Source organism: Homo sapiens, chromosome X (genome assembly GCF_000001405.40).
Source record: "Homo sapiens chromosome X, GRCh38.p14 Primary Assembly".
Lineage (NCBI taxonomy): Eukaryota > Metazoa > Chordata > Mammalia > Primates > Hominidae > Homo > Homo sapiens.
In genome coordinates this window covers 30,187,236-30,211,429 of record NC_000023.11, presented here as the reverse complement: position 1 = coordinate 30,211,429, position 24,194 = coordinate 30,187,236, and the positions used below count along the sequence as shown (strand labels likewise).

The following is a 24,194-nucleotide window of genomic DNA, read 5'->3' as shown; positions in this document are numbered from 1 at the left end:
CCCTTCCCCCCTCCCCCGACAGTCCCTGGTGTGTGATATTCCCCTCCCTGTGTCCATGTGTTCTTATTGTTCACCTCCCGCTTATGAGTGAGAACATGCGGTGCCAAAACTCTCATTCTTAAACCTGATAAACAACAATAAATGTATGACCTGTGCTATTCAAAATCTTAGATTCTTAAGTTAAATAAATCATCTATTAAAAAGAACAACATTTGAAGAATACCAATATATAAACAAATCTATAAGTTACCCATAAAAGCAAGAAGACAAAGGAGATATTCATTGTGTACCGTGTTTCCTTATCCTAACCCTCTACTATTGAGAACATTCACTGCCCACTTCAAACTCAAAGTGAAAAATTTGTTTCAGTCTTTACTAGGCATGGGAGAAGCTGCTGAACATAGCCCTGGAATGTTGCTTGGCTGTGGCAGTAGTGCCAGCCCTGGCTTCAACTCTGGCTTGAGCTCTGTCCTTCTTCATGTCTCAAAGCCTCTCCATACCTGGATGGCAAGGCACTGGGATGGTATTCTGAATCAATGAAAATGACTGAGGCATGTCTCAATCATTTAAGGAGGTTTATTTGCCAAAGTTAAGGATTCATGCCCAGGAGACAGGTCTATGCCTTTCTCCAAAAGTGATTTTGAGGGCTTCGGTATTTAAAGAGGAAAAGGGGGAGATATTGGGGGAAGAGGAAGAAATATTTTTAAAATGTGTTGGTAGATAAGAGACAAACAAAAGTTGGCATCCTTTTGAGTCTTTGATTAGCCTTTCACTGAATACACAATTTTCCTGTGCAAGGGTGGGTAGAGGAAATATTCACTTATGCCTTCATCTGGCTCAGTGACTCTGCATTTATACATAAGATAACATAAACAATAGGGCAAAAGAAGCAATCAGATATGCATTTGTTTCAGGTGAGTAGAGGGATGACTTTGAGTTCTGTCTTCTGTCCCACACCTATGAAGATAAGCTATGAATTTACATTGCCAGGGTGAAATTCAACAGAACTACTTTAGGGTAAAGATCTTGGGGCCCACAAGGGATATCCCTGTGGCCAAATTGTGAGGGAGGTATGTAGTTTTTTTTATCTTTCTAGCTATCTTATTTAGGAACCAAATGGGAGACAGGTTTGCTTGACCCAGTTCCCAGCTTTTCCCTTTGGCTTAGTGAGTTTGGGGTCCCAAGATTTATGTTCCTTTCACAGTATCATTAACCTTGACTCAAAATTTCTATGACTTTCATTTTTCTGGTTTCAGGGTGGGCTCTCAGACCCCATAGGAATTCATAGTGGGAAGAATCACTATGGGGCATCTGCTGGCAGTCCAGCTACCTTTCATGCGTCAGATCTCTGGTGATGACCTTCCTGGGATCCCCAGAGATGAAGTACTTCTTCCCGTAATATATACCCTTTATTTTCAGCTCTTCCAAGATTATCTCCTCATTGGTTCAATTGCCTTTTGTAAATATCAGGCCTAGGACAGTCATCAGGAGGCTGGTCTTGGACATGCCCTTTTCATATCTCAACCTCTCATCATAGGTGAGGTCCAGTTTTCTGACAAGGGCATAAGAGTGGTCTACTTCTTTTACTTCAACCCCAAAGACAGGCTGCATACACTCAGAGGCTCTCCGGCTCTCCTCAGGACCTCAGGAAGTGCTCCTTGTGCTCTTTTATGGCATTTTTCAGTATGTCTGCTTTTGTGATGGGCTTTTTCATTTGATAACTGAGCAACAGGGAATTCATCATAAAAACCGCTTTCTAGTATAGAGGGTGCCTGGGCAAATTCTCAGTGTCTGGCAAAGGCTGCAAGATTCTCTGACTTTCCTCCTCTTCTTGACCTCTGAGTACTCATCTGATACCCTTGATGAAGTTGGACACTTTTGGCTTTGGATCTCCTTGTAGGCCTGGAGGCATTGCTCACATGTACAGTGCTGATGCTTCTGGCATGGAGGCATGCTATTTCTTGGTGGTATGTTAGGCAGGCATGTTGGTAGGAAGTATGCCAATGGGGGACCACAACCTAAGGAAGAGAAGGAAGATGTGGGTGTCTTCAGCTGGTAAACTCAACATTGTTAGCTCTGACAAAGGCCACTTACACTAGGCTTTTCCTAAGGGCAGTGCCCTCGGGCCTCACATGTCTCCTGTCCTGTCTTGTAAGCACTTGAAGAAGGAACTGAGAAGGCTCTTTACAGTACAGCCAGCCAGCAGCCTACCCAGGGCTCACAGTAGGACAGGCAGATGTGGACTCTATGAGGATGCCTCTGTATTATGATGGGTGACCCCTTCAGTCCCCACTTAGGGTCCTCACTGTGCCTCTGGGTAGGTCTCAGGATACTCCCTCTACTGACTTGAGGTTATCTCACCTCAGACCCAGGCCATCACTTCTCTGGGGCCCCCTAGGAGGAAGTGAGAGGGTATCTCATATGACCACTCCCATCTGGGTCCCCCCAGAGTTTATAGCAGGGTCATGACTCTTTAGGGCATCCTCTGTTGTGGGGTGGGTGGTCCCCTTGCCCCTCATTATGAGTCTTACTCCTGACAGAGTCTGGAATGTATCCTTTTGCTGAACTCGGGTCCTTCAGACAGAGGACCTTACTTCCTTGAATACCCTGAGGAGAAAATAATACAGGGCAAAGAAATTCAGGGCCTGTTTTCTGTATACAGGGTGCCTGGCAAACCTACCTGAGAAATCTTAGCTTGAAACTCTGCTTGGGCCAGGCACAGTGGCTACGCCTGTAATCCCAGCACTTTGGGAGGCCAAGGCAGGTGGATCACCTGAGGTCGGGAGTTTGAGACCAGCCTGGCCAACATGGTGAAACCCCATCTCTACTAAAAATACAGCAAATTAGCCAGGCATGGTAGCAGGCACCTGTAATCCCAGCTACTCAGGAGGCTGAGGCAGGAGGATTGCTTGAACCCAGGAGGCAGAGGTTGCAGTGAGCCGAGGTTGCACCATTGCACTCCAGCAATGAGAGCAAAACTAAGTCTCAAAAACAAACAAAAAAAAACCCTGCTTGGGCCTTCCAATTGTCATAGCAGGGGCAGAGCAGGACACTGAGGTCTCTCTCTTCCGGAGTTATATTACTCCCAGTTAATATAGAAGGCTCAAACACATCAAGAAATCATGGTACTCTGAGACAAGCAAGCTTGAAGACCTGCCAGGGAATGGGGGAAGGAGTGATGGCAATGAATATCTCTGGCTAAGACATTGTTCCTGGGAATCAAATATACCTCCCAATCAGTGCTAGAATGATGTTTACATCAGCATTTCCAAAAATAGGACCTGTGGAATAATATTAGGCACTAATAAAAATGTGAAATCATTTTAGAGTAAGCTGCCTTAAACAAAGTTGAATAGGTTTTAGTTTCTGATTTTGTTTTGACTGCAAGACTTCCCAGGACCCTCAATATGCCAATATGCACTGGAAAACTCCAAAAGGGATGATATAGGATGATGAGTTTCCTAAACCTATTTAACCAAGAAAGCATGCCACACCCCCCCGCCCCGCCCACCTTTTTTTTCACATTAGATCTTAAGACGTCAAAACAGAACACTTTGTGGATGGTCCTGGAAGATCCTCAGCTTATGTTTTTCTGAATGTTTTCAGTGAAAGTGTGGTGGCCCTTGGAGGAAACCAGAATGAAGACCAGGGGCATTTTCAAAACAAAATGCCTGCTTTAGTGCCTGTAAAGATGATATCCAAAGTGCAACAGCATCTCCTTAATAAGTGACATGAAATATCAGCTCTTTAGGTGTTTTTCCAAAAATCCAATTTAGAGTCAACAGGGTTCAACCACATTCAAACCTTGCGTGAAGTGCCTGATCATTGAGAGACACAGTCAAAAGGTTATGTTAAATATATGTCACCCTAGATTTCCCCCAAAAATGATACTGTATTTGGGCTACTGAAAGGAAATTAGATTTGTATTTTCTCAGCCCCCAAACCTCCAAGGGGGTAAATAGGCTAGTGCTAGCCAAACTATGGGGGATCCAATAAAAAAGAGTATGTGTATGGCCAGGTTTTCAGCCCTAGAGGAGAATGAGAATCTTTGAAAACCACGCAGGAAAAACTATATCTTATGAACTGGCTTTCCATAGTGGAAGTGGCAAGGAACTGTGTTAATGAGGAGGCTACTCAAGTGCCTGCATTTCATCCAAGTGTTACAGGATACTGCGTGTTTCAAAATACCTAGTTCTGGGACCTCTGGATATTGGGAATGAAGTGATTGAGATTCTTTCTGCTATTCTTCTAATAGTTAGTTCAGAAACTGGAGCAGGCCATGTTTCTGCAGAGGTCACACATAGTAGATCCATCTGGGACAGACAAAGATAGGGAATGGAGACAGGGACTCCCAGCAATGACCCAAAGATGCCTGTAGAAGCCCAGAGGGATACAGTTCAAAATACATCCATTTCTCTCTTCATAGTTCAAATAAATTTGAAAATGAAAGCTATTTACAAGGCAAAACTATGACACAAACCAAGCCTTTATCTTGTGGTTTGAACTTAATTAGAAGTGTGTTTATCTGGTCAAGTTACTTTCTTAAATGCTGTATTTTAAAGCATTATCAAATACAAGGAAAATGAGGTGATGACTCAAGATGGCTGACATTTAAAACAACAGCATATGAGTAATATATTTAAAGCTATATTTATTGCGTCTCCTGGGTAATTTTAGTATTCATTAGTGTCTACATCTCCCAGTGGAACAAAACTCATGAATGTCATTAATACATTGTTTTAGTCATGTTCTACCTAATTAATAAACATATTAAATATAACAATTTCTGAAACCCATGCCTCTGGCGTATATTTTGGCAATGCCTCTTCAATGGGCTTTTAATATTTTAATATTTCCCTCTATGATATTTGGATGTGTATACAGTTTTAAAATGTTATAAAATTATTCATCAGAGAATTGGAGCAGGGCTTTGAGACATTGCTAGAAGTGTTTTCAGTTGAAAACAGATAGTAGCCAGTGATAGTGACAGAAAATTTGAGTTTTATGATTGTATGCAACCACATACCATTCTTTCATTATAGAGCAAGAAACCCAGAATGTAATAAAAACATCTCACTCAATGTTTAAGCAGATTTTCGTTTTTCAAAGTGACAGTTTTGCTTTACAGAATCATTCTTATATTTCTTCCAACTGGTATTTCTATTTCATAATAAAAGCCTCTTCAAAAATGTTAATGTTCGTTGTTTAAAATGATCATTGAAGAGAGGTGGGAAATTAAGAAAAGCACAAACAAAATCAACAAAAATAACAATATAATCCCCACCATTCAGAGACATCCGTTGCTATAAAATTGTTTTTTTTTTAATTTTTGATGATTTGTTATTTTTTTTGTTTGTTATTAGGCAATTTTGGAAGACTGAAAAATAAAAAAAAACCTCAGCTTGGTGTACTCAAATCATCTAGTGAACAATGACAGAATCCTACCTCCTAGTTATTTCTTTTCAGTTTGCCGGTGGGTAAAGAAATTCAGCCCCAAGAAAAGAATGCTGCTTTTAAAATTATTCCTTCCTGCTTTTCTTCATCCAATGAATATACACTGCTTTGATTACAGTAGGGCTTTGCTTAAGCTGTTGACAATGATTTTTCTTTTAAGAAAAAACCCTAGGGAGAAAATAGCCAAAAAATTACATGAAATATTCAAAGACCAAGAATAAAGGAAACAAAAAATCCACCATCAGAATTTGAACTTCAGTCTTTGTCAGTGGTTGACTGAGATCATCTAATGTAGGATGAAATTTGTCTCCAAACTTTAATATCTATTAAGCACACAATGGCCAGGTGGCCTATATATGTTATATATTTACTTAATATGTTGGATTTGATGTGACATTTCTGACTGAAAGCTAAAGGCCTAAATCTAGTTTTGTGATCTACAGAGATGGATGCTTAAACTGTGGATTATATCAAATGTTTACTGAAGTCTAAGGCTTCTCTGGCTTTAAGTTCCTGATTGATGTTAGCTATCTGAAAAACAAAATGTAGTCCAAACTAGGAGTAAAAAAACACTGTTTATTTAATGATAAGAACCACTGAGTATCCAAAATCCAGAATAATATCAGATGATTGACAAAATGCATAAAAGATTAAAATATAAATTAATAAATAGGTATTGAAATGAAAGGAGTTCTGTTTTATAGTGTAATACAAAGATCTTTGTTAAATTCAGGGTCCATTCCCATGTTGGGAGTACGGATTATGCTCCAGAAAGAGTCACACAAATGGTGGAGGGAAAATATCTACTTGTATGTGTGTTGGAGGGAATGGGGTGGGAAATGGGAGAATTGGAATTGGACAAAACGGTGGGGAGCTGGAGAAGTGGTGGATTCTTTTCTGTCTCTCAGCAATAGATAACAGGACTTGTGAGTTCTTAAAAAGCAGCAGGTTCTACCCACTCTGGTAATAAAAATTACTTCAGAAGTTTATTAAGAATACGGATTTCCAGGCCCATTTCAACCCCTGAATCAAGAGAAGCCTTAAAATCTAGATTTTTAGAAAGAAGCCTCAGGTGATTCTGATAAGAAGCCAAATTTGGAGCCAAACTGTTACTCACACTGATGTCTTGTTAGCACTTCATTAACAAGTGTTAAACACTTGGAAACTGAGGTTCCCCTAGAATATAAAAAAGTGTTTTCTGATTAAATTCAAACATGTTAATAAGAAGTCCATAGATATCCTGACACTGTTATTAAAATTTTTAGTGATCATTTTCAACTGCAGAGCTTTTCTTCAGGAATGACCATTTTTAGCTGGCTATGGACATCTATTAAAATTCGTATCTCAAACTGTCCAAATAGTGTCAGGGTGAATAAAATTAAGACTGGCTTAAAATGTTAGTTGAAACCTGCTAAGGCATTGTTAATATTTAGAATTTTTTGGTAGGTCAGAATAAAAACAGGTTTTGGGTCACATATAACATTCTTTATTCATTCATTTTCTAAGACATCTCCCTATATTTATTAAACTCTTTCCACTTTTATACTTATAAATAAGTTTCTTTATAGCTTTAATTGCAGTTTAAAGCAGTGCATGCAGGTTATGTGTAAAAGTTACATTTTAAGTCGTTACTTAATCATTCAATACATATTTTTCATCTCTTTTTGAATAAATTTCCAAGAGAAGGAGCACAGACTTTTAGTTCCCTAATATCCAGAGCATTCAAAATAGTATTTTAAGTGTGGAAGACCCTCAATAATGACTTACTCAATGGATTTTTAAAAACATTAAATTTTCTTAAGAAAAGTATACACAGGTGTACCCATGCTGTTCAACACAATAGCTACTAGCCATATTTGAATATTTAAATTTAAATGAGGGCCCAGAGCAGTGGCTCACGCCTGTAATCCCAGCATTTTGGGAGGCCAAGGTGGGTGGATTCCTGAGCTCAGGAGTTTGAGACCAGCCTGGGCAACATGGTGAATCCCCATCTCTACTAAAATACAAAAAATTAGCCAGGTGTGGTGGTGTGCACCTGTAATCCCAGCTACTTGGGAGGGCGAGGCAGTAGAATCGTTTGAACCCGGGAGGTGGAGGTTGCAGTGAGTCGAGATTGTACCACTGCACTCCAGCGTGGATGACAGAGCAAGACTCCATCTCAAAAAAAAAAAAAAAGTAAATGAATAAAAGTTAAATAAAATTAAAAATTCAATGCTTTAGTTGTACCACACACATTAGAAGTGTTCAATAGTCATATGTGGCTCTTATGTTGTACAGCACAGATATAGAAAATGTCCATTAGTGCAGAAAATTCTATTGGACAGTGCAGAAAATTCTATTGGACAGTGCAGAAAATTCTCTTGGACAGTGCTGATCTATACAAATCATTCCTCCCTCCCTTCTTGCCTCCCTTCCTTCTTTCCTTCCTCCCTTCTTTCCTCCAATTATTTACCATTCTTTTAATAAGTACATATTGGATTCCTTCTGACGAGCCAGACTATTTATGTTATAGATATACTAGTGTACAAAAAGCATAATTATCTTGCCCTTTAAGGAGCTGACTGTCTGGCTAATAAGCTATTTAGTATGTACATATCACAATGACTGCATAGTGTATTTTAATAAAAAGTCTTAATTAAATGCTTTGAATATATGGGCAATTTATTAATGTTAACTATACCAATGTTTTCAATAAACTATGATGTAACTCTCCATTTTATAAATGAGAATACTAAGGTACAGAAAAGTTCTGACTTATCAGTACCTAGGCCATACTGCCACACTGACTGATAAATATATGGACTATCACTCCTAGAAAAAGGTGCCTCAGAATATGGAGCACATGTAAAGGGTTTTGTTTTTGTTCATCTTCATTCAACATTCATCTAAACATTTATTAAATTAACACTATATGTTAGTAAAGCAATGAACATATTATAAAAATATCCGAGTCCTATTACCAATAAGTTTATATGCTGCTGGGAAAATAAGACATAGATAATAATGGTACAAAGTAATAAATTCTTTATTGTAAATGTTGATGAAAAGAGTCAAACTCTGTAAAATATCTTAAGAGATTTATTCTGAGCCAAATATGAGTGACCATGGCCCGTGACACAGCCCTCAGGAGGTCCTGAGAACATGTGTCCAAGGTGGTTGGGGTATGGCTTGGTTTTATTTATTTTAGGGAGGCATGAGACATCAATCAAATACATTTAAGAAATACATTGGTTTGGTTCAGAAAGGCGGGACAACTCAAAGAGCGGGTGGGGATGCTTCCAGGCTATAGGTAAATTTAAACATTTTCTGGTTGACAGTTGGTTGAGTTTATCTGAAGGCCTGGGATCAATAGAAAGGAAATGTTCAGGTTAAGATAAAAGATTGCAGAGACCAAGTTTTATTGTGCAGAGGAAGCTCTCAAATAGCAGACTTCAGAGAGAAAAGGTTGTAAAATGTTTCTTATAGGACCTAAAAGGGTGCCTGGCTCTTAGTTGATTATCTCCTGGATCTGGAAAGGAAGGAAGGAAAACAAAGGGGAAAGGGGATTCTCTGTGGAATGTGGATTTTTCCCACAAGGGAAGGCTTTGCAGCGCCATTTCAAGATATGACAGAAAAACATGTTTTCGGGTAAAATGTTGTGATTTTCTTCCTTGTTATGCCAGAGTCAGATTGGAAAGTAAGTCATGATATACAGGGTTAAATAAAACCCATCTGATGAGAATTTATGGTTTGTAGGGCATGACTCCCCAGACCCCTTAGATAGGAATTTGGGCAAGATAAAAAAAAATCAGAGCCTAGTCCTCACAAATAAGTATAAGAACAAGTGGGTGCAGGGAGATATCTCAGACTGTCTGGGGTGATTAGGAAAATTTTCAATGAGGAGGTGTCACTTGGTCTTGGAAAAAAAGGCAAGAAGGCCTTTCCTAGAGGATAGGACAACAAAGGGAGACAGATCAGAAACACCTTGGCAGATTCTGAAAGATGCCACAAAGTCAAAGGTCAATCCTCTTTGCTGGTTACAATGAAGATGATTCTGCTACCAAATCCTTAATTATGCATGGCTTGCAGTCCTGGAGACTACTTTAGACATGTGGTTTTTTTTCCTTATATGGGAACTATTACCTTTATATTTATTTATTTTTAATTAATATACTTTCTTTCATTTTATTTTTTTTTTTGAGATGGAGTTTCGCTCTTGTTGCCCAGGCTAGAGTGCAGTGGTGCGATCTTGGCTCACCACAACCTTCACCTCCCAGGTTCAAGTGATTCTCCTGCCTCAGCCTCCTGAGTAGCTGGGATTGCAGGCATGTGCAACCACGCCCAGCTAAATTTTTTTTGTATTTTTAGTAGAGACGGGGTTTCTCCATGTTGGTCAGACTGGTCTCGAACTCCCGACCTCAGGTGATCCGCCTGCCTCAGCCTCCCAAAGTGCTGGAATTACAGGTGTAAGCCCCCGCGCCAGGCCAGTATACTTTATTTCTTAGAGAGCTTTTAGATTTACAGAGAAATTGAGCAGAAAGTACAAAGAGTTCCTATATAAGGAATTCCCAACAGTTTCCCCTATTATTAACATCTTGCATGGATGTGCTATGTTTATTACAATTGATGAACTAATATTGATATATTACATTTAATTAAAGTTCATAGTTTACATAAGAAAACATCTTTGTGTTATACAGTTCTATCGGTTTTACCAAAGGCATAATGACATGTATCCACAACCACAGTATCATACAGAATAGTTTCACTGCCCAAAAAGTGTCCCCTCTGCCTATTCATCCCTCCCCTCTATTTCTAATTTACTGAGCATTTTTATCATGAATGGGTGTTGGATTTTGTCAGCTGCTTTTTCTGCATCTATTGATATGTTCGAATGATATTTTTGTCTTTATACTGTTGGTATAATGAATTGCATTAATTGATTATCAACTAGCCTTGTATATCTGGAATAAATCCCACTAGGTCAAGGTGTATACTTTTTTATTTTTTATTTATTTATTTTTTTGAGACAGAGTCTCCCTCTGTCACCCAAGCTAGAGTGCAGTGGCGCAATCTCAGCTCACTGAAACCTCTGCCTCCCGGGTTCAAGCGATTCTCCTGCCTCAGCTTCCCAAGTAGCTGGGACTACAGGTATACACCATCATGCCTGGCTAATTTTTTGTATTTTTAGTAGAGACGGGGTTTTGCCATGTTGGCTAGCCTGGTCTTGAACTCCTGACCTCAGGTGATCCCCGCCTTGGTCTCCCAAAGTGCTGGGATTACAAGCGTAAGCCACTGCGCCTTGCCAAGTTGTGTAATTTTTTAAATGTATTGTTGGATTTGATTTGCTAATATTTCGCTGAGGATTTTTGCACCTACATTCATGAGACATACTGGTCAGTTTTTCTTTCTTGCAATGTCTGCCTGCTTTTGTTTTAGGGTAATGCTAGCTTATAGAATGAGTTAGGAGTTAGGAGGTATTCACTCTGCTTCTATTTTTTGGAAGAGATTGTAGAAAACTACTATCATCTGTTCCTTGGATGTTTGGTCAAAGTCACTAGTGAAGCCATCTGCAGACTGGTGCTTTATGTTTGGAAGTTTATTAATTGATTTACTCTCTTTGGTAGATAATAGGCTTATTCATATTTTGTGGGCATAAAATTGTTCAAAATATTCTTTTATTATCCTTTTCATGTCCATGTGAACAGTAGTGATCCTTCTTTCATTTCTGATATTAGGATATTAGGACTTTGTGTCTTCTCTGTTGTGTGTGTGTGTGTGTGTGTGTGTGTGTGTGTGTGTGTGTGTGTTTTGGTTAGCCTGGCTAGAGGTTTGTCAGTTTCAAAGTAAAAGCTTTTGGTTTCATTGGTTCTCTCTATTGTTTTCCTGTTTTAATTTTAATAATTTCTGCTCTGAGTTTTATTATTTGTTTATTTTCTTATTCTTACTTTGGATTTAATTTGCTCTTCTTTTTCTAGTTCCCTAAGGTAGAAGCTTAGATTTTTGATTTTAGATTATTACTCTTTTCTAATGTATGCATTCAGTGCTATACATTTCCCTCTAAGCACTGCTTCTGTTGTATTCCACTAATTTTGATAGGTTTTACTTTTGTTTCCATTTAATTAAAATAATTTTTTAAAATGTCTCTTGAGATGTTTCATTTGACCCATGTGTTATTTAGAAGTATGTTGTTTCATCTCTAAATATTTTAGGATTTTCCCAGTTATTTTTCTGTTAGTGATTTCTATTTTAATTGTAGTATAACAGCACTGTGGTGTGACAACATACTTTTTATGATGTTGATTTGTTTAAATTTGTTAAGGGTTATTTTGTGGCCCAGAATATGGTCTATATTGGTGAGTGTTGCATTTGAGCTTGAGAATATGTATTCTGCTGTTGTTGGATCGATTATTCTGTAGATGTCAATTAGAGCCAATGGATTGATTGATTGAGTTCAATCACAGCCTTACTAATTTCCTGCCTACTGGATCTCCTAATTACCGATAGAGGGCTGTTAAAATTTCCAGTTATAATAGTGGACTTATCTATTTTTCCTTTCATTCCATTTTTTTTTTGCAAGAGGTTTTCAGATGCAGCCGTTCTTTCTATTTAGGCTTAACTTTGCATTATATTTACTACTTTCTATATTCTCTAATGTGCTGTTGATTAACTTTAAGTCTGATACTGTTGAGCTCTAGGCTGTCAGCCAGTTGCACAGTTTTTTGAAGAATATATTTTTACTTTCAAGCCATGCTGAATTACCTTGAAAATCCTCAAAAAACTCAGGAATTAACAGCATCAACTGTCTCTGGCATTGGGACAAAGGGTGGAGCCTCTGACTTTCCAATCAGTTTTTTAGTTCCTTTAGTCTTAATCATGACCAGACAACCAAGATTCAATGGAAGTATGAAAATTGTTTACATTTGAAATTATAATTCTCTCATTCTGGCATGGAATGGAAAACCATTTTTTAGCCTCATCTTCTCTACCCCATTGTGTAAACAGTTTTTACAACGTGGCAAGAGATCCTTGCTATAGACTGAATGTGTTCACCTCAAATTTATATTTGTTGAGAAGTTTCAGCTCGGTGGGATCAAAGATAAAATGGCTGCAGTGCTTCCAACTACTGTCTTCTCTCAGACTGTTAGATCTTCCTTTTCCAGTCCAGCAATATGATCCGGTGAAGATTTCATAGCTTTGTGGCCACTTTTGGCTATTAAAGTTTAGTTCAAATTAAAGCCTTAATTTCAAAGTTGTTTTTAATCTCATCTCTTTTCTTATCCTCAAGTCATGCTTGAGAGGTAGCCCTGACTGTTGTTATGTTGGAGCTGGGGGATATGAGGTGGGGTCTGACTCTGAGACACCCCTTTCCCCTCTCTCTATTTATTTATTTGTTTATTTATTTTGAGATGGAGTTTTGCTCTTGTTGCCCAGGCTGGAGTGCAATGGTGCCATCTTGGTTCACTGCAACCTCCGCCTCCCGGGTTCAAGCGATTCTCCTGCCTCAGCCTCCCAAGTATCTGGGATTACAGACATGCACCACCACGCCTGGCTAGTTTTTTGTATTTTTAGTAGAGATGGGGTTTCCCCATGTTGGTCAGGCTGGTCTTGAACTCCTGACCTCAGGTGATCCACCTGCCTCGGCCTCCCAAAGTGCTGGGATTACACTGCGCCCAGCCTCCCCCTCTCTCTTTAAAGCCTCACCCTCTATCTGATATGTTCCTGTTGCTCTGACTAATACTGACAGGCTGAAGATGCCCTGGGTGTGACAGTGGCCACACTGATCTACTCATTAGACACACATGTAGGTCCTTTGGGAGTCTTTAAGAAACCTTTCTACTATGCTTTTCCCTACTAGAAGAGGCACCCATGTAGCAGAACATCCTATAGCCTCTTGCTGTTGAGGTGCGCTCATCTAGCAGCCAGCCACCTTGATTGGGCTATGGGTAAAATTCCTCTAGTCAGGTAATCGCAGCAGTTCCCCCTGGAAACTCACACATTTTTTGCATGTTAAATAAATATTGGAGGGAGAAAGGTGTGGGAGAAAAAGAACAAAGGAAGGAATAATAAGAACTAATTAAGCAGTTGGATTTTTCCACCTTTAAGCAGATCTTATAGCACTTGGCAGTAGTAATAAAGGTGTCTTAGCAGCTTGACTGCTAAATCTCAATTGTGCTTAAACTTCCTATTCTTTTCTACTGTATCAATAGACATTAGAATAAAAAGTTTTTAAAATCAAGTTTACAGCCTATTTATTTTTTCCTAATTGATTCAACTATTTACTAAGTATGTCTAGCCACCATGAGAAATACAGTGAAGTATAAAGCATAATCTCACCTACCAGGAGTTTAAATTTTGTCTTTTTCTTTCTTGATTTGTTTTGTTTTTACCCCGATAGCAAAATAAAGGACACCGTATTAGTTGAGGTTCTCCAGAGAAACAGAATCAATAAGAGAGAGAGAGAGAAAGAGAGGATTTGTTAAGGGAATTGGCTCACAAAATTAGGGAGGCTGAAAAGTCTCAAGTTATGCCCCCAGCAAGCTGGAGAACCAGGAAAACAGGTGGTGTAATTCAGCTCCAGGAGGGGTGCGGGGTGGGGCCCGCTGGTATAAATCCGAGTCTGAAGGCTCTAGCACCTGGAACTTTAATGTCCAAGGGCAGGAGAAGATGGATGTCTCAACTCCAGAAGAGAAACAAATTGCCCTTCCTCTGCCTTTTTTGTTCTATGCAGGCTTTCAAGAGATTGGATGGTGCCTGCTCACATTGCTAAGGGTGGTTCTTCTTTTCCTAATCTAGGAATTCAAATGCTAATCTCTTCTAGAAGTACCCTCACAGATGCACCCAGAAGTAATGTCTTCTCAGCTATGTGGGTTTCCCTGACCCCAGTCAAGCTGACACATAAAATTAAGTATCACAGACACCAATGAGCCTAATCTCATTATGTGTTATTATCCACCCCCTGATTGCTGTTACTGTTCTTCTCACTCCTACTATTAAGAAAATGCAAGAATAACTTCTGACATGTTAGCATGAGTTGTAAATACTGAATCAGACCTCCAGAAAGGTTTTATTTTGAGTCCATTTTATCACTAAAAGCCAAAAATGACTTTCTGAATTTCTAATTGGCATATTCTTTCTCTGTGATTTCCATGAATTTGAAGTGACCGCTTTCATCAAGTATATATGTATGACTTACATTGATTTTCAAAATGAGCTGCCAAACTGCTATTCCCATTTCAAAAATGAAGATCAACGAGGTGAAACAAAGCCCCATTTATTACATGGATTTTAATTTTAGCAAGATCTCTTGTGTCATTTGTTCCAGCTTAATTGGTCTAACCTTTCCTGTTGGTTTCTGTGAGAAAGACACATTTAAACGTAAAGCAGGAAGGTCTGTTAGTCCATTCCTCAGCTGATAGTAACCATATCCTATTTAACAATATCCTTGCTGCCTGTAGATGTCACTATACCTTTATAATTCTCAGTGACCCATCCACACCCACCCCCCCCACCTCACCTCAGTGTTACAGGGATGAATATTTGAAGGGATGTTGAATTCTGTTTTCTAAACAGAGAATTGGAAAGCAAGATTTCTCAATATATAAAACATAAAATTGCAGATCAGGCAGTAGCACATATATACATACACACACACATACACAAAGATCAGAAGGAGTACTTTTAAAGGTAGACAATTAAATTTACCACCTTTGTTTCATTAGTTAATTGGATAATCTTTTGGGTTAGAAAATAAGATTTAACCAAGAATGTGGCTGTGTCTCTTATTACCTCTCTTTTTTCTTCTTTATTTAGAAATGATTTATAAATATGCTTAGCCTACAAATAGCTAAAATCATGTTTCAGCACTTTGTTTCTCATAAGATCTTAGAGGAGTTAAATAAAATGGATTTCTTGTTTTAAAAACAGAATGTGAAAATGATGCTTTCATGGATTAATGGTGGAAGAAATACAATCAAATATACCTGGTTTTAAGAATAGGTTTTTGCTTTGGCAGCCTTTTCCCTGAGAACTGAAATCGGCTAAAGCTCCAAAATTAGGCATGAGCAATTTGTTGTCCCCTTTCCACTCAGTTGTGTGACATAGCAGTTGACACAGAGGATGGGATGCTGTATAAAATATTTATGGTTAGTAGCATAAGAATTTCAGGGGATCCCAGAGCTCATTTAAAATATGTGAGGTAGAATATGGATGTTGAAAATGTAGGAAATCAATAGGCATGGGTGCTAAGGTTTTGGCAGTTTTCCTTCTTGCACTGGGCTACAAAGCTATGGACCCAGTATTTGTTTATTGTGCAGCCATGCCCTTTTTATTAATTTGGGCCTAAGGATTACTTTGTCACAGCTTGTAGCAGGCCAAAATGTTCCAGGTGAGAAGAGAAGGATACTCAGAAGTGACTTAGGTTCCTTACAAGGTCTAGAAGGTCATTCTTATCCTAACTGCAAAAAACAGACCTCAACCAGTGAGAAAAACAGAGACCCCCCGAAGCAGTAAATGATCTCAGATTTTCAAAAGCAAAGAGAGTTAGAGAAAGGGAGTTCCCGTTAGTTGAAATCAGCTTTCGGGGTAGAAAGTGCATTGCCCAGGTTATCCTCTGGTTAATGCTAGTTGCCAAAGGTAAAAACTCGAAACAAACAAACAAACACCCAACCTCCATTGCATTAAGAGGATCGTGCAGTCGTATCTTTCTACATATAGGTCCAGAAGAGAGGGAAAAACAAATAAGTCGTGGAGTTGGAAGGGCTATGTGTAGAAAAGTAAAAATAAATAAATAAATTAAGATGTGCAAAACAGAAAGTCTAAAATAAACTCTACAGATGGGTATGAATTTGGGCAAAATTCAATAGGAGCAAGGCATAACTGATGCATGACTGAAGCCAAGGGTAGCACTGCCAGTGCTATTAAGGTCTTGCATTATAGCTGTGCATGAACGTGCTTCATATTCCTTGTTAGACAGTAATTTCTTAGAGGGCTAAAACAGAGTTTTGTTCATTTTGGTTCCCCCTAAGAGACCTACCAAATCATCTGGCACCTAGTGGATTCTTTAAAAAAATTGTTGACTAAGAATGAAAGCAGAAGATTTCTATTGGGGAGTACAATGAGATTTGGATAGTTCTTGGATACTGTCAATGAGAAAGAATACAATGTCAAAAAGTAGTTTGAATGTCTTGATTTGGAGACGGCGAAAAGTTGGTGCTGTTGCCAGACACATGGAATGTAAGAAGGGAGATTTTGTTTGTAGGCAAGAGATTCATTTCTTTTGAAGATATATGAAGACGGACTATGTTTGATGGAGGAATCTATAATAAACTGGCCTTCACTCTGATTAGTTGGAAATATAAGATGGAAGGAAAGAGGCTGGAGAGGCTGATTTGGGATTCCTCAATGGAGAGGAATGGATGAATGGATGAAACCCTTGAGGGAATGTATATACATATTATGTGTATGAGGACAGTCAAGAACTAAACATTTTGGGATATCTGGAGTCAACAGATGGGAGAAGAAACAGGAGTCAGAGCAACAGAAGCAAGAATAGTGTTGTATTAGCTGAGAAAAGAAAATTGTCAAAAAAGTAACCATTCTACAAGAATGAACAACATATAGTAAGGGAATTTAGATGGTTAAATAAAAAATAGCAAACAACAAAAACCTTTACCAAGATTTCGCCAAGAGGTCTTTAGTCACCTAAGGGAGCTGCGTTATGATATAGTTTCACGAACGTCCATGTGAAGAGACCACCAAACAGGCTGTGTGTGAGCAATAAAGCTTTTTAATCACCTGGGTGCAGGTGGGCTGAGTCTGAAAAGAGTCAGGAAAGGGAGATGGGGTGGGGCCGTTTTATAAGATTTGGGTAGGTAGTGGAAAATTACAGTCAAAGGGGGTTGTTCTCTGGTGGGCAGGGGCGGGGGACCTGCTCAGTGGGGGAGCTTTTGAGCCAGGATGAGCCAGGAGAAGGAATTTCACAAGGTAATGTCATCAGTTAAGGCAGAAACAGGCCATTTTCACTTCTTTTGTGATTCTTCAGTTACTTCAGGCCATCTGGATGTATACGTGCAGGTCACAGGGGATATGATGGCTTAGCTTGGGCTCAGAGGCCTGACATATAGTACACTTATAATTTAGATTTTTGGCATTACAGTAAGAAGTTGGTGAAGGTGAGTGGGGCAATAGGTGAGGACATAGAAACCACATATATAGGTGGAGTATGTAAAAGAAAGACAACCTCTTAACAGATTAATTATGTAACATCAGAGTGTGTAGCATTTTTTTTTAGTCCCTGGTCTTTTGCCTTCTTCATGAATAACTGCTTGCTGGTATTTAAAGAGAAGTTTAATAAGAAGAACTGAAGCTAGACCAGCTTCATATGTGGATAGCTGAGGGAAGTAATAAGGATAGAGTGTTCAAAACACTTATCCATGACTTTTTTTATTAAGACAAAGCAAACATTTATTTAGTTTAAAAGTTTTTATACCTCATTTGAAGGGGGCTGGGGTTGGTATGGGCTCTTCTGTGTGTCTTTTTTTTTTTTTTTTTTTTTTTTGAGAAGGAGTTTCACTCTTGTTGCCCAGGCTGGAATGCAATGGCGTAATCTCGGCTCACTGCAACCTCCACCTCCCGGGTTCAAATGATTCTCCTGTCTCAGCCTCCTGAGTAGCTGGGGTTACAGGCATGTGCCACCATGCCAGGCTAATTTTGTATTTTCAGTAGAGATGGGGTTTCACCATGTTAGTCAGGATGGTCTCAAATTCCTGACCTCAGGTGATTCGCCTGGCTCAGCCTCCCAAAGTGCTGGGATTACAGGTGTGAGCCACCGCACCTGGCTGTGTCTTTTGAAAGCTATGTTCCTCCCAGAGGAAAATGCACACATACTGAAATTGACTTGAAACTACAGAAGATCTGCAAATCCCTTCCAACAATCTCAGTGTAAAAACCCCAAATTTAGCCAATAGCAAGCAAATTCATTGACTCAATTCTTAAAGTGAAAAGAGCATGGAATAGGAATCAAGAGTCCTGAGTCCTACCTAGTTCCACTTCCCTTGGTCTGGCCTTTGCTATCATGAAATGATACTATGATCTTCTTAGACTACAATATTGTTTAAATGATCCTTTTAGTAAAACATGTATGCTATGCTTCTACCGAAAACACCAATAAAGAATATTGTCACATAATAAATTCTTTTCTATGTTTATGATTATATTTCTATTCAAAAAAAGTACCAAGCCATTTTACAGATTCTGAAATATACATTTCAATTTATGCTTACCAGGTATTTAGAAGACAGGTGCTAATTGCATTTTAGAGCTCTGTGTGATCACCAATTGCTCCTAGATAACTCTTAGTCTATCAGTATAAGTTTTGGATTTTTCCTTATTTTTCCAGTAACTTTGAACTCTCTTTTATAGGATATGCCCTAGCAGCTTGGGATACACTCACAGCAGGTCACTTTCACCAGGTGAATGATCAAATTTAGCTTCTTAGGACAGTTAGACTATTGTTTCTTTTGAACATTTTAAAGTTTTCTGCAAAACAAGAACTGAAGAAAGTCAAACAGGCTTCTTCACAGAAAGTGAGCTTAGTGGCAGGAAAGGGCAACCGGGTCAAAGGATAGTGCTCAAGATAACAGGTAAAGAGAGAAGGGGATGAAGGACGGAGAAGTGAAGGGAGAATGAGAAGAGGACAAGCTAGCTGAACTTTTCATTTGATATTGTACAGTATGGGTCTATTAGGAATGACTTTCTGGGACAAAACACCTTGCCAAGGAGTTATTTTTTACAAATGGACACAAGACAGGTTTTATCTTCAGTTGAGAGTATTGAGCCCCCAGACTTTTGGAACTCACATCTTGATTATTTTGGAGGAAAAAGAAGAGTTATCTGGCAGTTTTCATCCTAAATTTTCCCTTTAGAGTCATTAAGCAAAAATTTCAGGAAGGCATCTGTCTTCTAAACTAACACTTTTCTAGAACAGAATAAAGAGGAATTTGGGGAAAATATAGTTCATCAAACTTAGCAGGATAGGATGATTATCTGTGTAGCTAACCCCTATGATGGGGCTGCTTAAGTTATTAGACTTAATTCTAACATGCAGCCAGAATTTTTAGACTGTATTTCAAAAAGGAGAAAAATATTTGAGTATCTGAAAGTCAGCAGTAGAACACTCTTATTCTCAAATAATCTTTAGAAAGCCCATCAAGAATCACATAAAAATGGATTCAAAAGTACTAAGAAAAGAAGTCAAGCTGCGATAGAGAAATCAGGAGAGTTGCACCCTTGCACTGATACTTGATTTTAAAACTCACCATAATTGCTTGAAAAAGGCAGAGGCAGCAGTTATCTAATGACACTGTAAGGATGGCAAATAACCTTATCGATGATTTAAAAAAACTGAACATTACCAGAATTGGACCCAACAAGCATTTACAAGCCCATTTTCTTGACAGAGGAAATATCCAGTTCTTTCGAGTACATCTTGCAAGTTGTTTTGAAATATTCAGCTGTTGTCTGCCGCTAAAGAGTTTTAGCATGGTGTATGGAGACAGGTTTTTCGAATCTGCAAACTCCGGAGCTTACAATAAGAAAACAAAGATAGGGCCAGCCTATGACATTAGGCTATACTCTCAACTTCACTTGGAGTTTCAGAACTGGACAATATGCAGTCCATAGTAGCTTAAATATAAATTTCTACATAAATTTCTACATAAAGACTTCAATGAAATTCTTCCTTCTCCATCCATGGTTCAGCTCACTCATTTATTCATTTATTTACTTAACAAACATTTATTGAAGACCAACAATGTGCCAAAAATTAAAATTGATGCTTTGAATACAAAGGTGACCAGGCAAAGTCCTATATTCAAGAAGTTCAGAGTCTAGTTAGTGAGGGAGACAAATACAGAAATATAAAATTATGTGATGAATTCTAAGGGGGTCGCAAGAAGGAATAATCTAACTCAGCCTGGTTGGACTGAGCTGAGTCAGGGTTAGACATTCGTTCACTAATTGAACAGAGCAGGGTGTAAAATTCAAGACAGATGTTGCCAATATTTGGTGCTCTTATCTCTTGCCCTTGCTTTTTAAAAATAGCACTTTTAGCATTGTGTTATAATCATTCCTTTTCATGTTTGTCTTTCATACTGGATTACAGTGCCTTAAGGGCAGTTCTGGTTTCTTTATCATGTTTCATTCCCATTCCAAATGATCAACAAAGGAGAAAAAGAGACATTATAAAAATCATCTATCCACTTATCTATCTAAATCTATCAATTTATCCATGGGTACTCAGTTATGACTATGGAATCTGGATTGAAGCAAAAGTTTCATATAAGACTTCCGTTTTTAGCATTTTTAAATTGCGTAATACATTTCCATCATCTATCTATGTAACAAATGAACAAAACTGCACTTGTATCCCTTAAATTTATAAAAATTAAAAAAAATTCTATCATGGAACAGATTCTTTCTTATATACTATCAGAGAGAGTCTCTAATTTTATAATAGAGAATGATGATATGATGGGAAAATGTCATTGAATCCTGCATATTATACACAATTTCATTAAAATACAGATATGTTGCATATAAATACTGATGAATTTTAAACAGAAGTTTTTCAATTCTGGAATGTTTTCTTACAATAAGAATAGTCTGAGATAGATTCCAACTGTGAAACAAAAGGCATGGGTGAAAGATTTTGGTACTCTAATATATTGATGATGCAACTCCATGTGGAATGGCAAGAACATTAGAGAAGGAGACAGAGCTTTTAAATTTTTAATTGAAAGGGACAAAGGCAATTTCTTCTTCCTGAATGGAACCACTAGAGTGGAATGGAGATTACGATTTAGGCAGAAGCATTGGGTAGTGAGTTTTCAAACAAGAGTATAGACAAGTGGCCCTCTAGGTGTCTGTAGTTAGGAGCTGAAGGAAGTAAGATTTATAAGCCTGTGTAAGCGATAGTAGATCGTAAGAGGCAGCCGGCAACATGAAGTCAACTGTAGAAGTTGGAAAGATACTGGAGTGGGGCAGGAGGGGTGGCAAAGTATCTGCCCAAGGATTGTGGTACTCTCTGGCAACAACTCCAGCCCATAGCAGCTGTGCAGGCAGCAGCAGAAGGGATGTTAGCCATCAGAGGTCCCTTCAGGGCATGTCAGCATTATTCCAGGCTGACACCAGAAGGTACTCTGATTACCTCTCTAAGTCTGAATGCTATTTACTATAGCAAGGGACTTCCAAGGCCAACCCCTCTTGGCATTGAGCCAGGAACCAGAAGTACTAGGGCTGTGTAGGGGAGCTGGAAATAAGGTCATTAAAATAGTAAGGGTTCCTTAAGAAAGGACTATGTGTCAGACACTGTTGGTGCTACACCCAGATTCTCCCTCCCCTCCTTTACTTGTGTGTCCCCATGGCCCATCTTCTGTGTGCTTCATCTTTAATGTCTCTCACCTATGACCTTCTTCAAAGCATTTCATGCAGAGAATTGGAATGCCTGGGAGTTGATGCCCTACCTCACCCCCGTAGCCAATGACTGACAGATGGGGCAGTATGAAAGCTCAGCTTCCTCACCTTGTAGGTGTAATGTACAAACTCTGAGGTGTAATGGGTGCTCCACAGCTCTCCATGGGATCAGGCTCAGAGTGGGTCTTTACCTGAAATCACACCTTTGGCCTTCTCTTTCCTGCTGTCCCCATTCCCTTGTCCAGTTTCTCCTGGGAGCACTTCTGAAGGAAATCAGTGGCACCTGAAGATTTATCTTAGGATTTGCATCCAGGAAGCTTCACTTAAGACAATTGATTTAGTTGCAACTGCAAAGAGAGTTGCCTGCACCGCATTACAATTCGAACACAGAATTAGGAACAAATTGCTATGGGAGCACAAGAAGAGGATACCTGGGGGACCATGCAAAGCTTGACAGGAAAGGTGATGTTAAAGATGTGCCTTGAAATATACAAAAAAACTTCCAGATGAAGTGGGAAATAATATCTTTTGTCCTTAAACCTACCTATTCACAAATGGTGAAAATAACATCCCATAATGTATATCCGTAGTGTGTTTTTAAGTGCCTTGTGCTGCACTAAGAATACCACATTTTATCTCATTCAATCTCTAGAATGAACATATGAGGCATGTACAATCATGATACCCTTTCACATATGAGGAACCCAAAAGGTCTAGTAATTTGCCTCCATCTTACAGCAAGTTACCAAGAGAGCTGGGATTTGAACACAGGTAATTTGACTCTAGAACTCAAATATTTGAGTTCTGATCACTTTGCTGTATTGCCTTCTTGGTAAACAACATTAAAATAGGAATAATCCTCAATCTCATTTCCACTACAGTGTCAGTGTTATATTTTTTTCTCTTGCTGATCCTTTTAAAACCTACTCATGATGAAAATAATGTTTAATTCATATGTGATTCTGTGTGTTAACATTAAGACTGTTAAGGACAGAAAAAAGGAAAAAAAATATGACTCTTTAGGAGTCTGTCATTTGAAACAAAAGTAGAAAGAAAGTGTCTTAAAATTATTTTTAAAGGGAGTCATATTTTAGGTCAGGATCAATGGGAAAGACAGCTGTAAAGCTGGAGTGATGATCTCTAAACTTGGAAGGCCAGAGTTCCTACACTTAAGTATGATCCAAGTTGATACTAGAGGGAGAATACTGTCAGGTCAATGCAATTCTTGAAAGACTTATTATTATTATTATTACTCTAAAATCTTGCTCTTTTCTAGTCTTTCTCAATGATTATTTTATAGTAACTCCTATTAATTTCTGTTTTTAAAGCAACTGAGCACAGATGAGAACATTATTTGGAATACTTTTATTTTAGTTTGCTATAATGAGAGAAGATTAATTATTGGAACTGTATTAATACTTATCAGCACCTCCGTAGCCCATTCTTCTTTGTGAACCCCGATTTGACCCTCCACACTTCTATTGCCCTTCCTCCTTTGACTTTGTGATATTTTTCTTTAGTTACCCGACACCATTTCCATTTCTGTGCTTATATCTGTTTTTCCCACTAGAATGGAAGCTTAATAAGGTCTTTGTCTTGTTCATCACTATGTCTTTAGCATCTTGAGCAGTGACTGGTACATATTAGGAACTCAATAAATATTTGTTTAATCAAATAATGAATAAATGATGACTGTGTCTAAGGTTAATGCAAAATGCCTGGCAAGAAATTGATATGTCTCTCTAACATTCATCTTGAATCCTTAAACTCTTGTATAGCAATGGTAGATTGGGACATACAAGGGAACACAAGCTTTGTCGTTTTAACTGGTTATAATCCTGAGTTAAAATGATGGCTTTGTAATTAATTAGCTGTTCAGTCTTAAAGAGATATTTAGCATTTATGATCCTAAACGTTCTCACCTATAAACGAGAATAAGAATGACTGCCTTGTAACCTATGTGCATGCCATAGTTGTCACTTATTAAATTTTAGTTTCCTCTTGTTATTTAAAGACTCAGAGTCAAAACTTTTAGAAAATGAGTTTACTTGTAAAGAATTTTTGAAAAAAGTGTTCAGGCTTTAGAAGGACTGAGTAATCAAATTAAAAATAAAACAGGGTTTGTAACATCCCCAGGATGGTGAAATAAAGGGTAATCCAACAGGCTTTTAGGTAAATAAAGAATGCTTCCATGATTTCAAATAGAAATGAAACCATGTTTACTAAGGGTACAGTTAGTCTGTTTAGAGTAAAATTAAATTTTCTCATATTACTGCCATGTATGTAAA

General features: G+C 38.4%; 1 pseudogene, besides 1 other annotated feature; it reads right to left on the bottom strand.

The window, feature by feature from the left end:
• LOC100420324 (MAGE family member A10 pseudogene) lies at positions 1,192–2,043 on the bottom strand (annotated as a pseudogene).
• Positions 17,205–17,935: an enhancer, noted in NCBI's record as "NANOG-H3K27ac hESC enhancer chrX:30211612-30212342 (GRCh37/hg19 assembly coordinates)". NCBI's record gives its function as "activates a minimal SCP1, AML or CMV promoter by ChIP-STARR-seq in naive H9 embryonic stem cells {active_cell/tissue: H9 hESC(naive)}" and the evidence as "EXISTENCE:reporter gene assay evidence [ECO:0000049][PMID:30033119]".